The sequence below is a fragment of the Homo sapiens genome, chromosome 18 (genome assembly GCF_000001405.40).
Source record: "Homo sapiens chromosome 18, GRCh38.p14 Primary Assembly".
In the NCBI taxonomy this organism is placed as follows: domain Eukaryota; kingdom Metazoa; phylum Chordata; class Mammalia; order Primates; family Hominidae; genus Homo; species Homo sapiens.
Window position 1 is genome coordinate 3339853 of NC_000018.10, and position 13127 is coordinate 3352979.

General features: G+C 43.9%; 1 long non-coding RNA gene across 1 annotated transcript, besides 1 other annotated feature; it reads right to left on the reverse strand.

Annotated features, from left to right (window-relative positions):
- Nucleotides 845-1139: a transcriptional cis regulatory region, noted in NCBI's record as "candidate enhancer chr18.117 targeted for multiplex CRISPR interference". NCBI's record gives its function as "positively regulates TGIF1 gene expression with high confidence in K562 cells {active_cell/tissue: K562}" and the evidence as "EXISTENCE:mutant phenotype evidence [ECO:0000015][PMID:30612741]".
- Nucleotides 7851-10707, reverse strand: LINC01895 (long intergenic non-protein coding RNA 1895). The gene is made up of 3 exons (NR_146506.1): nucleotides 10635-10707; nucleotides 8281-8398; nucleotides 7851-8136 (listed from the first exon to the last, which is right to left on the reverse strand). It is a non-coding gene; the product is annotated as a long intergenic non-protein coding RNA 1895 (long non-coding RNA).
- Between the last annotated feature and the right edge of the window lie 2420 nt (nucleotides 10708-13127).

Consider the following 13127-nt stretch of genomic DNA (forward strand, 5'->3'; position numbering starts at 1 on the left):
TTTTATTATCTACCTATAAACTTGACTGAATTCTGCCATTTTCTACATTTTTATCAAATTCTCATTTTTTCTAGTTTTCTTCCATATCCAGGCTCCAAATTAACATTTCCAATTTTTACTCTCACCTTTCTGACTTGGTGTTGTTGAGACCTGAAACCTGATTGCTGAGATCCTTTTTGAGACTCTAGGTTGTCTTGTGGCTGTCCTTTACCCAAAGCCCTATAAACTGAAGTTGGATGACGTGATATAAACTTCAAAGGACTCATCACTACAACAGTGTGAGTCACTGAGGAAGTTCACCACAACACCCATATCTTCCATGATCTGATCTGGGAAGTAACCATGACTGTGACTGTAATATCTATACCGTCACCAAAAATAATGACCTGTGAACTGAGAAATCTGTCAGATTGCCACTGCTATCTTCACTCCATCATCTAATGATGCTTCAAGCCCAGTATCTAGAAATCATCTCAACTGGCTGAACTGTGGGCTCAGAAATTGGGTCTATCTTCTGCTCTCACCGTTAATCTTTGTTTTTCTTTATGTTTCCATAAAAATACCCCTCATGCCCAAGACTAGGAGATTGGTTCGACAAAATACGGTGTAGTGTGCCTACGTTAGGTCTTTGGTGCTGATTGATATTTGTTCTGATGTATGTTCCTTCCCTTTGCAGATCCTTACCTCACAAGGCCTGACCAGTGTCTTCAATAAACCCACTTCCTTGTTTGTGAAACATCTGGGGAAGTATTAAATGGGGGAAAGGAAGGAATTAACAGCCCACCAAAATGGTGTGAAAATTACTTTAAACTCAAAACATCTTCACAATCAGCAGCCACAGAAAGAAACATTATCTAAACTTAGGCAGAGCCTCCTGAATTACAGCTTCTATGACCCCCTCTGAGGGAGTTTCCCGATTGTGAGAAGACTCATCCTAGGATCAGCGAGTGAGGATTTAGCTGTCCCTTATCATCACAAGGCCCAATAGAAACTTCCCTACTTTCCCATGGAGTCCAAACCCCACTCCCCCTCTCTGTTAAGTTGGTATATAAACCTTTAACTCTGCAGCCATAAAAAAGAATGAGATCATGTCCTTTGCAGGGAAGTGGGTGGAGCCTGTAAACCATTATCCTAAGCAAACTAACACAGGAACAAATACTGCATGTTCTCACTTATAAGTGGGAGCTAAAGGATGGGAACACATGGACACACAGAGGGGAACAACACACACTGGGCCCTATTGGAGGGTGGAGGTTGTGAGGAGGGAGAGGATCAGAAAAAATAACTAATAGGTACTGGGCTTAATGGCTGGGTGATGAAATAATCTGTTCAACAAACCCTCATGACACACGTTTACCTATGTATCAAACCTGCACTTGTACCCCTGAACTTAAAATAAAAGCAAAAAACAAAAAACCAAAAACCTTTACCTCTGAGTATTCAGGGAGTTGCCCATTATTGAATATTTCACATGTACATGTAAATAAACCTTGTCCTTTCTTTTGTTAATCTGTCCATTGTTACTTAATTCTCAGGCCTCTGACCATTGAACCAAAGTGAGTAGAGAAAAAAATTTTCCTCTTAGACTGTCTGGGCAGCTATTAATAAATACCTTAGACCAGATAATTTATAAATAGTAGAATTTTCTTGTTTGTTTGTTTGTTTTGAGAGAAGTCTCGCTCTCGTCCCCCAGGCTGGAGTGCAATGGCTAGATCTCGGCTCACTGCAAACTCTGCTTGCCGGGTTCACATGATTCTCCTGCCTCTGCCTCCCAAGTAGCTGAGATTAAGGCACCTGCCACCATGCCTAGCTAATTTTTGTATTTTTTTAGTAGAGACAGGGTTTCACCAAGTTGGCCAGGCTGGTCTTGGACTCCTGACCTCAGGTGATCCGCCTGCCCTGGCCTCCCAAAGTGCTGAGATTACAGGTGTGAGCCACCACACCCGGCCTATAAATAGTAGAAATTTATTTCTCACAGTTCTGGAGGCTGGGAAGTCCAAGAGCAAAGCATCAGCACATTTGGTGTCTGGTGAAGGCCTGCTCTCTGCTTCATAGATGGTGCCTCTTGCTGGACCCTTACATGGCAGAAGGGCAAAAAAGGGCTCACAAGCTCCCTGAGGCCTCTTTTATAAGGGCACTAATCCCATTCATGAGGGCACAGCCCTTATGACCTAATTACCTCCCAAAGGTCCCATCTCTTAAAACCATCACCATGGGGGTTAGATTTCACCATGTGAATTCTGGGTGGACATATACATTCAGGCCATACACCTACTAACAGCAATGACAGAGTGCCAGCTTAAGTCCAGTTCTCCCAACATATGCTGCAGGGCCCTTTTCTGAGTCCTGGGCTACCCCAGGGTCATATGCTCTGCTTTGCCATGAATAATCCTGGTTTACACCACTGAAATTATTCGCCACATCCTCTTTTATTCTTAAAAGTTTTCCCCTTTGGATAATAAGTTATATTAATTAGGGACATAACAGATTCTATCTGCAAACATAACATGTCCCAAACTTAACTCCTGATCCAGCAAATGGCAACTCCTTCCTTTCAGTTTTTGAGACCAAAACCTTTGAAGTTACCCATGCTCTCTTTCTCTCATGCCTCACTTCCAATCCATACTGGTTCTACCTTCAGCACATATTCAGCCTCTGGCTTCTCACCACCTGCTCTTTTACTTGGATCTAAGCCACCTTTACTTCTCATACTGAATTCTCACCATAGCCTCCCATCTGACCTTCCTGCTTCCACCTTTGTCCAGAGTAAAACTCTTAAAGTATAAGTTGAATCATGTCAATCCTCTGCTCAAAACCCTCTGAAGCTGCCCTTTTATCTCCGAGTAAAAACCAGGTCTTTACCATAGCTTACAAAGCCCTGCATGGTAGGATGGTGTCATTCCCCACTCCACACTACATGCCCTTTGCATCTCATTTTCTACCTCCTTTCTCCATTTTGCTCCAACTCCCTATGGCCCTGTGCGGTTCCTCACACCTACCAAACATGCTCCCTGCCTCAGGGCCTTTGCACTCGATCGCCCCTCTGCCTGGAATGTTCTTTCCTCACATCTCTATAAGACTTACTTCCTGATGTTCTTCAGGTCTCTGCTCAGATGCTCAAATCTCATTTTATTTTAAAAAGTCTTCATTTACCACCTTATATAAAATAGTCGTACACAGATGCACGCGCACACACACACACACACACACACACACACACACACACACCCTGTTGCAAGTTGGGTTCTTTGAAAGCAGATATTGAGACAGAGTTTGGGGTGCAGGATGTTTATTAAGGCTCAGTGCCTGTGAAAGGAGAGAAGCAGAATGGAGCAGAGGGAGAAGTTGAATTGAGATACTGGCTTGACAAAACACTGGCCAGTTTGGCAGGGAGTCGTAGAGAAAATGTTGCCCATCAGAGTTGTCTGTATTAGGTAGAAATGGCCAGGCCTCTATACTCTTGCTTTGTGTAACCACTGGGTGAGGGTTGCCTTGGGAAGGGCATGACCTAGGGCAAAATAGCAGCCTGCAACTGAGGCTGGCCCTGAAGGAACTGACAGCTGGAGTCTGCTGCTGACCACGCCCCACAGCTGGGCAACAAGTTCTTCCTTGAAGGGGGATCTGAGTGGAGCATCTTTGTGTCTACCATACCCACCCACCTCCCCCAACCATGATAATAAAACTTCCTGAGAGCAGAGACTGGTTGTCTAATAAACACTGATATACCACTGGCACTTAGAACACTGCCTGGTTCATAGTAGGGCTTGGTTAAGTATTGGTTGGTTGAGTGAATGAAAAAGTTAATAAATAAAATCAGTTCCTAGGTTGGAGATTTATTAAGACTATAAATATAAGGTTGCCTTAAATTTTTTTTATCTCAGTGGTGCTCCTTCTATCTTTCATCATGAAAATATCTCAATCAGTTTTTTCCATGCCTGTTCTTGATCTAGAACCACAACACAGAATAATGATGCATCTTCAGTAACCTGAGAAGGAAGCATTCTTGGTGTTCTCTAAAGTCAGATTTCTTTCATGTTTTTTTTTTTTTTTTCGTAATCTGCTTCCTCAGGTTGAGCAGATTTATTTTCGATAGGCTGTGTGGCAGAATGACGGAGCACTGGACATGGGGTCTACAGATCCAGGGTTTAGTGTCAGATCTGTTATTGGATGACTTTGACCTTGAGCAAGTCACAGCCTTCTTGAATCTGTTTCTTCATCTAAAAATAAGAAAGTTGAAAGGAGAATTTCCAGGATTTCTTCCAGCTTCTTGCATACTGTAGTTTTCTTCATTCAGGCCCTTGAACTGTACATTTATGTGCTATTTTGCCTGATTATCTTTAGACAGAGTAAAAAAAAAAAAACAACAGCTATTTCAAGAAGGTGGGTGGGTGATATAAACAATGAAGAGTTAAAAGAGGGAAAGGAGGCTGGGTGCGGTGGCTCACACCTGTAATTCCAGCCCTTTGGGAGGCCGAGGCAGGTGGATTACATGAGGTCAGGAGTTTGAGACCAGCCTGACCAACATGGTGAAACCCTGTCTGTGCTAATAATACAAAAATTAGCCAGGCCTGGTGGCTGGTGCCTGTAATCCCAGCTACTCGGGAGGCTGAGGCAGGAGAATCGCTTGAACCCGGAAGGTGGAGGTTGCAGTGAGCCGAGATCACACTGCTGCACTCTAGCCTGGGCTAAAGAGAGAGACTCCATCAAAAAAAAAAAAAGAAAAGAAAAGAAAAAGAGGAAAAGGAAAACTAGGCAGGTGGTGGCTGAAAGCAGCCCCTTCTGTGCACAGATCCAGCCTAAGAGACCACCTGCCAGGGCACAGGCCAGTTCAAAGGCCAAGCATGATCCTAGGACAGGAGGACTGATGAGTCCATCCTAAGCTGTATCTGTAGGAAGAGCAAATGTACCACTGGAGGCATCAGACTAGAGAAAGAGGTAGGGGACCTAAAGGGTATTGGTATTTGTTTATTGCCTGTCTTTCATCTCTCTCATAATCTCTCTCCTACAGTATAATCTCCACAAGATTACAGAATAGGCACCTAATAAATATTCATTTAAAAATAAAAGATGTTAGCATCTCTATAGCAGTGATGTTCACACATTGTTTTGGAAAGCAGTCACTGTAAGAAACACATTTTTTTTTCACATAGGACCCAATACTTCTATCAGTCTCTCTATCTATCTCTCTATCTATCTATCTAAATTAAAACGGGTTTCATGAAACAAATCCTACTCTTGCTAGGTATGATGCTTTCTGTTATTTTAATCTTCTATTTATTTATTTTAAAAATTCTGACCCTGACCTACTCAACTCATTTAGCAACCTCACAAGGCAGGAGGGAGGCCCCACTGGTCGGTGTGATGGGATCACCTGAGCTGGAAATGGAGGTTCCAGCTGAATCGGAAATTCGTTCTGATTTCACGCTCTGCAGGAAGGCTTCGTATTTTAACAGGATTTCCTCATGGATTTGCCTTCAGGGAATGAATGTGCTCATCAGCAAACATGAGTATCTGCCTTGTTAATACTTCTATCAATTAATTGATAGTATATAGCAATTAATCAATCAATTGATATTCTATTTTATATACCACTCTCTTGTGAATTTGATTAATGTGAGTCAGAATCTGAGAAACTATTCACCTCTGGATGCCCTGACAAGGTCATAATTCTACAAAGAACGGACCCCAGACTGGACAGAGAATAGGCCAGCTCTGTGATGATTTAATGAAACACTCCCTTTCGGAGAGTCTAATGCTTGGAGCAGTTTGGAAAGACACCAGAGATCTTTTTGGATGCTGTCACTAATTTTAGACTTGATTGTGAAATCATTTGTAAACCTGTGGAAGCCTCTCTGCTTACCCAAATAAGGATGTTTTATAGAGATGACAGACTTCAAGTTTGTTTAATAAAACTCTCTTATAGCCCTTGTCCTTTGGTAATAACAACAGAATCATTTTCAGAGAATTAATAGTTAGCACACATGAATATCATATAGTGGAACATGCTTTCTTGCCCTTGGAGACTATATAATAAATACAACCTCCAGGGCAAACTAAACCTAAACAATATGCTCACATAAGCATGTGCTTATTTAATCATGCATTGCGTTTGGATAGGGTTTTATGGTCTCCACATGTGTGCAGGCTCACTTGTTCTTTAGGAAGTTAGGATGGGTGGTGTTATAACTGTGATTCTGAAGATTTAAAATAATCCAACAAGGTCACATGCTCAGTAATAGAAGAACTAGGCTTCTTGCTGGCAGGTCAGCTCTCTTCCTGTGGTTTCACAATAACATTTGAATACAACAATTCTCTTCTGCAGGGCTCCAGCCTCTGTGATGTCCAACATGCTTATGAGCAGGTTCCAACATGCTGCAGCTCTATTTCCAAGCCTACTCATCCTTCCAACTTACACCTCATATGGTGCACATGGAAAAGACATAAATTTGGCTAACTTTGTGCAATGCAGGAGGGGCTATGTACACTTCCCACTCTCGAAACTATCCTCTTGACTCTCATGGCTAGAGAAAGCCATCTGATCCCAAGAGTTATCTAGATCCAGTATCTGGAGGGTAATTCAAATCAGAACCAATAAACAACAAAAGGAGGTAATCAGGAACGAATGCACACCACGGAATGAGCATGATGTACAGCTGACCACACAGTTTATATAAACATGCGGCACACTGCAAAAAATATAGAGTGAGTTTCTTGGACCAGCTTCCAATTTGTCTTCACTAAAACGTAATGAAAGTATGGGACTTCGAATACATTAAGTTAGTCACTCTTAACGCCTGGAGCTTTTCAAAACCATCCATACTCAGACTTCACTCCAGTTGGATGCCCACGCCATTCTAAAGGTCTGATAAGTGACTATTCCTGCTGTTTAAAACAGGCATTGGCCGGGCACGGTGGTTCATGTCTGTAATCTCAGTGCTTTGGGAGGCCAGGGCAGGAAGATCACTTGAGTCCAGGAGTTGAGCCCAGCCTGGGCAACATAGTGAGAACCCACCTCTTCAAAACACAGAAAAATTAGCTACTTGAGAGGCTGAGGCAGGAGGGTAGCTTGAGCCTGGGAGGTAGAGGCTGCAGTGAGCCGTGATTGTGCCACTGCACTCTAGCCTGTATCAAAAAACAAAAATTAAACTAAAAAAAGGAAAAAAATAAAGCAGGCATTAGTACCAAATATTTGCATAAGGCTCTTTTCCTAATTTAGTGCTTCAGTGTTTTGGCCATTTCTCGACATTATCTACATTTCATTAATCCTGAAGTTTCCCACTTCTCTCTATATACCTATTGAAACACAACAGCACAGTGGTCTTTTATCTTAGTGCGTGATTGTTGAGTCCTCAGATTTAATTGTTGTTAGTTGCTTGGTGATAATATCATGGAGGTGAGAAAAGAAGAGGCAGCTGGGTAATCAGCTTTGCAGGCAAAACAGGATAAATTCCAGGGGCCCTGCCTCCAAGTAGCCACACTGGACCTGTGTGTTCACTCAGAACAGCTCCAAAACCCCTAGTACTTCTGTGTCACCCATTTCCCTACAGTTCCCAGAGAGGCAATCCCATTCAAAAGCATGCAACCCCTCCCAAATCCTTCTTTGTGACTTACAAAAAAATTCCCAGATTTTCTTTTAAGTATTCATCCCTGATGATAAACAATCTATAGTTTTCCCAAAAAGAATGCCCCCATTCTCTGCAGTCACTTGAGGGTTATTAACATGTTCCTTTACAAATCCTATAGACCAAGTGGATTAGCTATAGCCACTTCACAGTTGAGGTCACTGAGGTCTAGAGAGAAGAGGGAACATGCCCAGCATGCAAGGCGCGATCCACTGATGGGCTAACAGATTCACTGAGTGCTGTTTATTAATTGATGCAATTCTTACAATAGCAACATTATCCTCATTTTATACATGTGGAAAGAGAGGCACAGAGAAGTTGAGTCACTGCATTTGGACCCGCAGGTAATAGGTGGCAGTGTGGCCACACACCAGAGCCCTTGCCTGGATTACCATTCTGGGTGTGGAGCCGGGAGTATTCCTGGAGGCTGAAGGAAAGGATCCAGACTCAGTCTGCGGAAAGGCTCTGAGTCCTGGCTGCTCCAACATGACCCTTCTCTCCTGCTCACATATTCCTGAAGGAAAACATGGGACTCTGTGATGTTTAATACAATAAAGAATGGGGCTTTTGACTGCAAACCTCTCTAAGGAATGATCATCCAGTAAAGGGTATGCAAAACAGAATTATTAAATAAAGAGGTAGAATGACTTTAACCTACCAATCCCTTCCCCAAGACTGAAAGTGGAGAAAAAGAGACAGGGGCTGCTTGTTTAATTGTATTTCTAGAGAGCAGGCTCTGATAACCACTTGCTCCTGCCATCTTGGTAAGTAGATTCCTGTACAGAAGAGAAAGAGAGTCATCAAATCCAAATAACTTCAAGCCAGCTCCCAAAGCAAGCCTGGCAAATTGCTCAGCTGACAGCAGGTAAGAGGACTTCCAGGGAGAGGAGCTCAGAGGGCACCTCCCAGCTGGGGCTGCTGGAGTTGGCAAACAGAAATGCCTGACACCCAGCGGAATTTGAATTTCAGATAAACACTGAATAATGTTTGTGTCTAAGTATGTCCCTGTTGTTTAGCAATTCAAATTTAGTGGGGCATCCTGTATTTTATCTGGCAACCCTAATCCCAACACTAAAAAGATAATAAGTACATGGTATAGTTTCCCTAGATGACTAAGCCTTCCTACCTCATTATACCCTGAAGACCTGAACTTCTTTCACTAAAAAGAACATGAAATTCTACATTTACACATTAAATCATGTAGGGAATTAAAATATGTCTGATAGAAATCAAACCAACCAGCCAGGCGCGGTGGCTCACGCCTGTAATCCCAGCACTTTGGGAAGCCAAAGCAGGCGGATCACTGGAGGTCAGGAGTACAGGACCAGCCTGGCCAACATGGCGAAACCTTGTCTCTACTGAAAATGCAAAAAGTAGGCAGGCGTGGTGGCGCACGCCTGTAGTCCCAGGTACTCGGGAGGCTGAGGCAGGAGAATGACTTGAACCTGGGAGGTGGGGGTTGCAGTGAGCCAAAATCGCGCCATTGCACTCCAGTCTGCGTGACAGACCAAGGTGCCATCTCAAAAAATAAAAATAAAAAAAAAGAGAAAAAAGAAATCAAACCAACCTACCAGTAGTGTGAGGGGGATGTTATTACTGCTGCTGTTCGTCCCTAGTAAAAGGAACAACTAAACGTTGTTGAAGGCAAGATGCGATGGTGTGCACATGTAGTCCCAGCACTTTGTGAGGCCAAGACAGGAGGACCGCTTGAGCCCAGGAGTTTGAGACGAGCCTGGGCAACATAGCAAAACCATGATTCTACAAAAAAAAATTTTAACGCTAGCTGGGTGTGGTGTTGTGTGCTTACACTCAGGACGCTGAGGCGGGAGGATCGCTTGAGCCCCAGGAGCTCGGGGCTGCAGTGAGCCATGAGTGTGCCACTGTACTCCAGCCTGGGTAACAAACAGAGCAAGACCCTGTTTCTTTTTTTTTTTTTTTGAGATGGAGTCTCACTGTGTTGCCCAGGCTAGAGTGCAGTGGTGCGATCTTGGCTCACTGCAACCTCTGCCTCCGCCCCCAGTTCAAGCAATTCTCCTGCCTCAGCCTCCTGAGCAGCTGGAATTACAGGCACCCGCCACCACGCCCGGCTAATTTTTGTTTTTTGTTTGTTTGTTTGTTTTTGGAGACGGAGTCTCGCTCCGTCACTCAGGCTGGAGTGGCGCCATCTTGGCTCACTGCAAGCTCCGCCTCCCGGGCTCAAGCGATTCTCCTGCCTCGGCCTCCTGAGTAGCTTGCACTATAGGCACGCACCACCACACCCAGCTAGCTTTAAATTTTTTTTTTTTGTAGAATCATGGTTTTGCTATGTTGCCCAGGCTCCTGAGTAGCTGAGGCTACAGGCGAGTACCACCATGCCCAGCTGATTTTTTGTATTTTTAGTAGAGACGGGGTTTCACCGTGTTAGCCGGGATGGTCTCGATCTCCTGACCTGATCCGCCCGCCTCAGCCTCCTAAAGTGCTGGGATTACAGGCGTGAGCCACCGCGCCGGGCCTAATTTTTATATTTTTAGTAGAGATGTGGTTTCATCATGTTGGCCAGGCTGGTCTCCAACTCCTGATCTCAGGTGATCCACCCTCCTCGGCCTCCCAAAATGCTAGAATTATAGGCGTGAGCCACTGCGACCGGCCAAGACCCTGTTTCTAAAAAGAAAAATGAAGGAAGAAAGAAAAAGTTGTGTAAAGATGACTGGGCTGGGAATGAAGAGAAACGGGTTCTAGTTCTGCGACGTCCAACCCTATAATCAGCTCCACCGGCTGCCACACAGCTTCCTTCCTTCCCGCACACTTCAGCTCAAATCCTGGCCATGGCTCACGTATTGGTAACGGCGGAGGAACCAGGGAAGAGGGCCTGAGGTGGAGGATTTCTGTATTTTTGTGTGGCTTGCGGGTTGCGGGTTGAAACCAAAATATTGCTTAATATTTAAAAGTGCATATCTAACTAATACAATTAGATATTTTAACAATTCTATCCACAATATATGCACCTGTTTTCATTAAAAATAAGAATGATACCTCTCTGTCCCTAAAGAGAGAGCTGGAGAGGAGCGGGTGTCGTGGGCTCTGCCACTAGTGAGCTCCGCGCATGTGATTATTTTCTGAGGGTCAGATTCCTGTCACGTGTGAAACAAGCTGGACTGAAGACCAGCTGGACTGAAGGTCTCTTGGCATTCTAGAACTCTTTGACTTGACAATTCCTCAGCAGGCTTTTGTAGGCTGCAGGAATTTCCTGACTCAGAGAACAGAGTTAGTATCACCACTTAGCTAGTTTCAGCTAGGAGACAAAGTACCTCCAGCTTTATTGCCAAATAACAACCACAAAATGTGGCTGGGCATGGTGGCTCACACCTGGAGTCCCAGGACTTTGGGAGGCAGAAGGGGTGGCTCACTTGAGCCCCGGAGATGGAGACCAGCCGGGGCAACATGGTAAAACCCTGTCTCTGCCAAAAATAAAAAAATTAGCCCCGCATGTTGGTGCCTGTTGTCCTAGCTACTCCGGAAGCTGAGGTGGGAGGATCGCTTTAGCCGAGGATGCAGAGGTTGCAGTGAGCCAGGATGGCACTACTGCACTCCAGCTTGGGCGAAGGGACTGAGACTGTCTCAAGAAAAGAAAAATAAAAACTAAAACCATAAAATGGAAAGGACCGAACCTTAAGTAAAAAAAAAAAAATCTTTATTAAATAATAGCAGCATTCATTCTTCTTCATTAGCAAAACGTGCCAAAGGAGCAGTTGTTCAAAGGCAATTGCCTCTGGCCCTTGCCCACAAGCCTCCTTTTAAAAGGAAATTAACCCTCTGAGTCATGACACAAGCATATTCACACTCCAAGTGAGAGACGAGTCAGATAGCATCATAAACCTTCCACCCCAACTGTCTGAACAGGTTCAGAGGATTCTGGAATTACTGCTCTTTGGGCCATTTCCCAGGTGGGAAACTTCCACACAGTCACTGTGTTTACTTGCTTACTGACTGGCAGTAACCATGAGTTCCCTAGGCTTCACACTCTACCCACTGTCAGCTCATTGTACAGGTAATAATTCCTCAGTTACCCACATTTATGTTTTGTACCTTAATTATTTCATTCTAAATGTCAACAAAACCCCTCAGCAGGTGTCTGACGTTGGTAGAAAGCCTGCAACTCCTGACTCTCTAATACTAGCAGTAAAAGAAAACATAATGGCTATTTAAATGCGGCCACACCAAATGCATTGAAGTGTACAATACAAATTCCAGTGGATCTAAATTGAAAATTTTTGTCAAAAAGTTCAAATCTTTGAAAAGTATATTTAATAACACTTTTTAAAGTTATTAAATTGCAACAGAAAGACTTCGAGTTGGAAAAGCTGAATTGCCTTTAAAGTAACATTAATGATAATAAAAATTCTTATTATTATAAAAATGGGCTGGGTGTAGTGGCTCACGGCTGTAACTCCAATACTTCGGGAGGCCAAGGCAGGAGAATAGCTTGAGGCCGGGAGTTTGAGAGCAGCCTGGGCAATATAGCAAGACCTCACCTTCCGCAAAATTTTTAAAAAATTAGCTGAGCATGGTGGCACATGGCTGTGGTTCCAGCTGCTTGGGAGACTGAGGTGGGAGGATCACTTGGGCCCAGGAGTTCCAGGTTGCAGTGAGCTATGATCATGCCATTGCACTTCAGCCTGGGTGACAGAGCAAGACGCTGTCTTTATAATTAAAAAAAAAAAAGCGGGGGGCGGCGAAAGCATCCCTTTCCTGTAATAACACAAAGTATTTAACAATATGTTTTGCTCCATTTATGGTCATGACAGTGGGAGTAATGGTTGGTGAAAATATTATTCAGGAATAAAGAGACCTTTGGATTCCTCTCACTATATATCAACACTCAAAATGAAGGGGGAGCATTTTTTTCTCTGGTTTTTTTTTTTTTTTTTTTTGGATCAATGTGAATAACTCACCAAGATCAATTAGTTCCCAAAGCAGATCTAGGGTAACTCTCTATCCAGCTGAAATTCACCGGATGATTGCCAAATCTTTCATTTTCTTTTTCAACTCTACCTGTGCTTAACATCTGGTTTGGGATTTTAAAAAAATTCATTTGGAAGCAAAAGTGAACTGGATTCTTCCCTCTGGAGCTCTGGGAGACAGAAGAGTGTTCTTTGCATTCTTCAGTGCGTGGCCCAGTTTTCTTGTGGGGCCAGGCTTATGTTCGACAGTCCCCAGGGACCCTGCAACAACTGCAATAGTCCTAGCCTTCCAGTAAAGGCACTTTGGGATCTGTGACGAGGCACCAGGACTACTGTACAGGGCTCCCTGCTCTGCCTGCTGCCAGAGTCTTCTGCGGCCACTGCCTGAGTTTGAGGGGAGTCAGGGTGGTAGACAACTGACAGGTATATAGAGTTACTGAGACAGCTCCCAGAAATGCCCCAGAGTGCTGGGGCCCTGGTTCTGGATTTTCTATGTGCAGTCCCCAGGGTTCAGACCTTTACGTCCAGGCCTGGAAAATAAAAAATGCAGTTTTCCTTTTGGTTC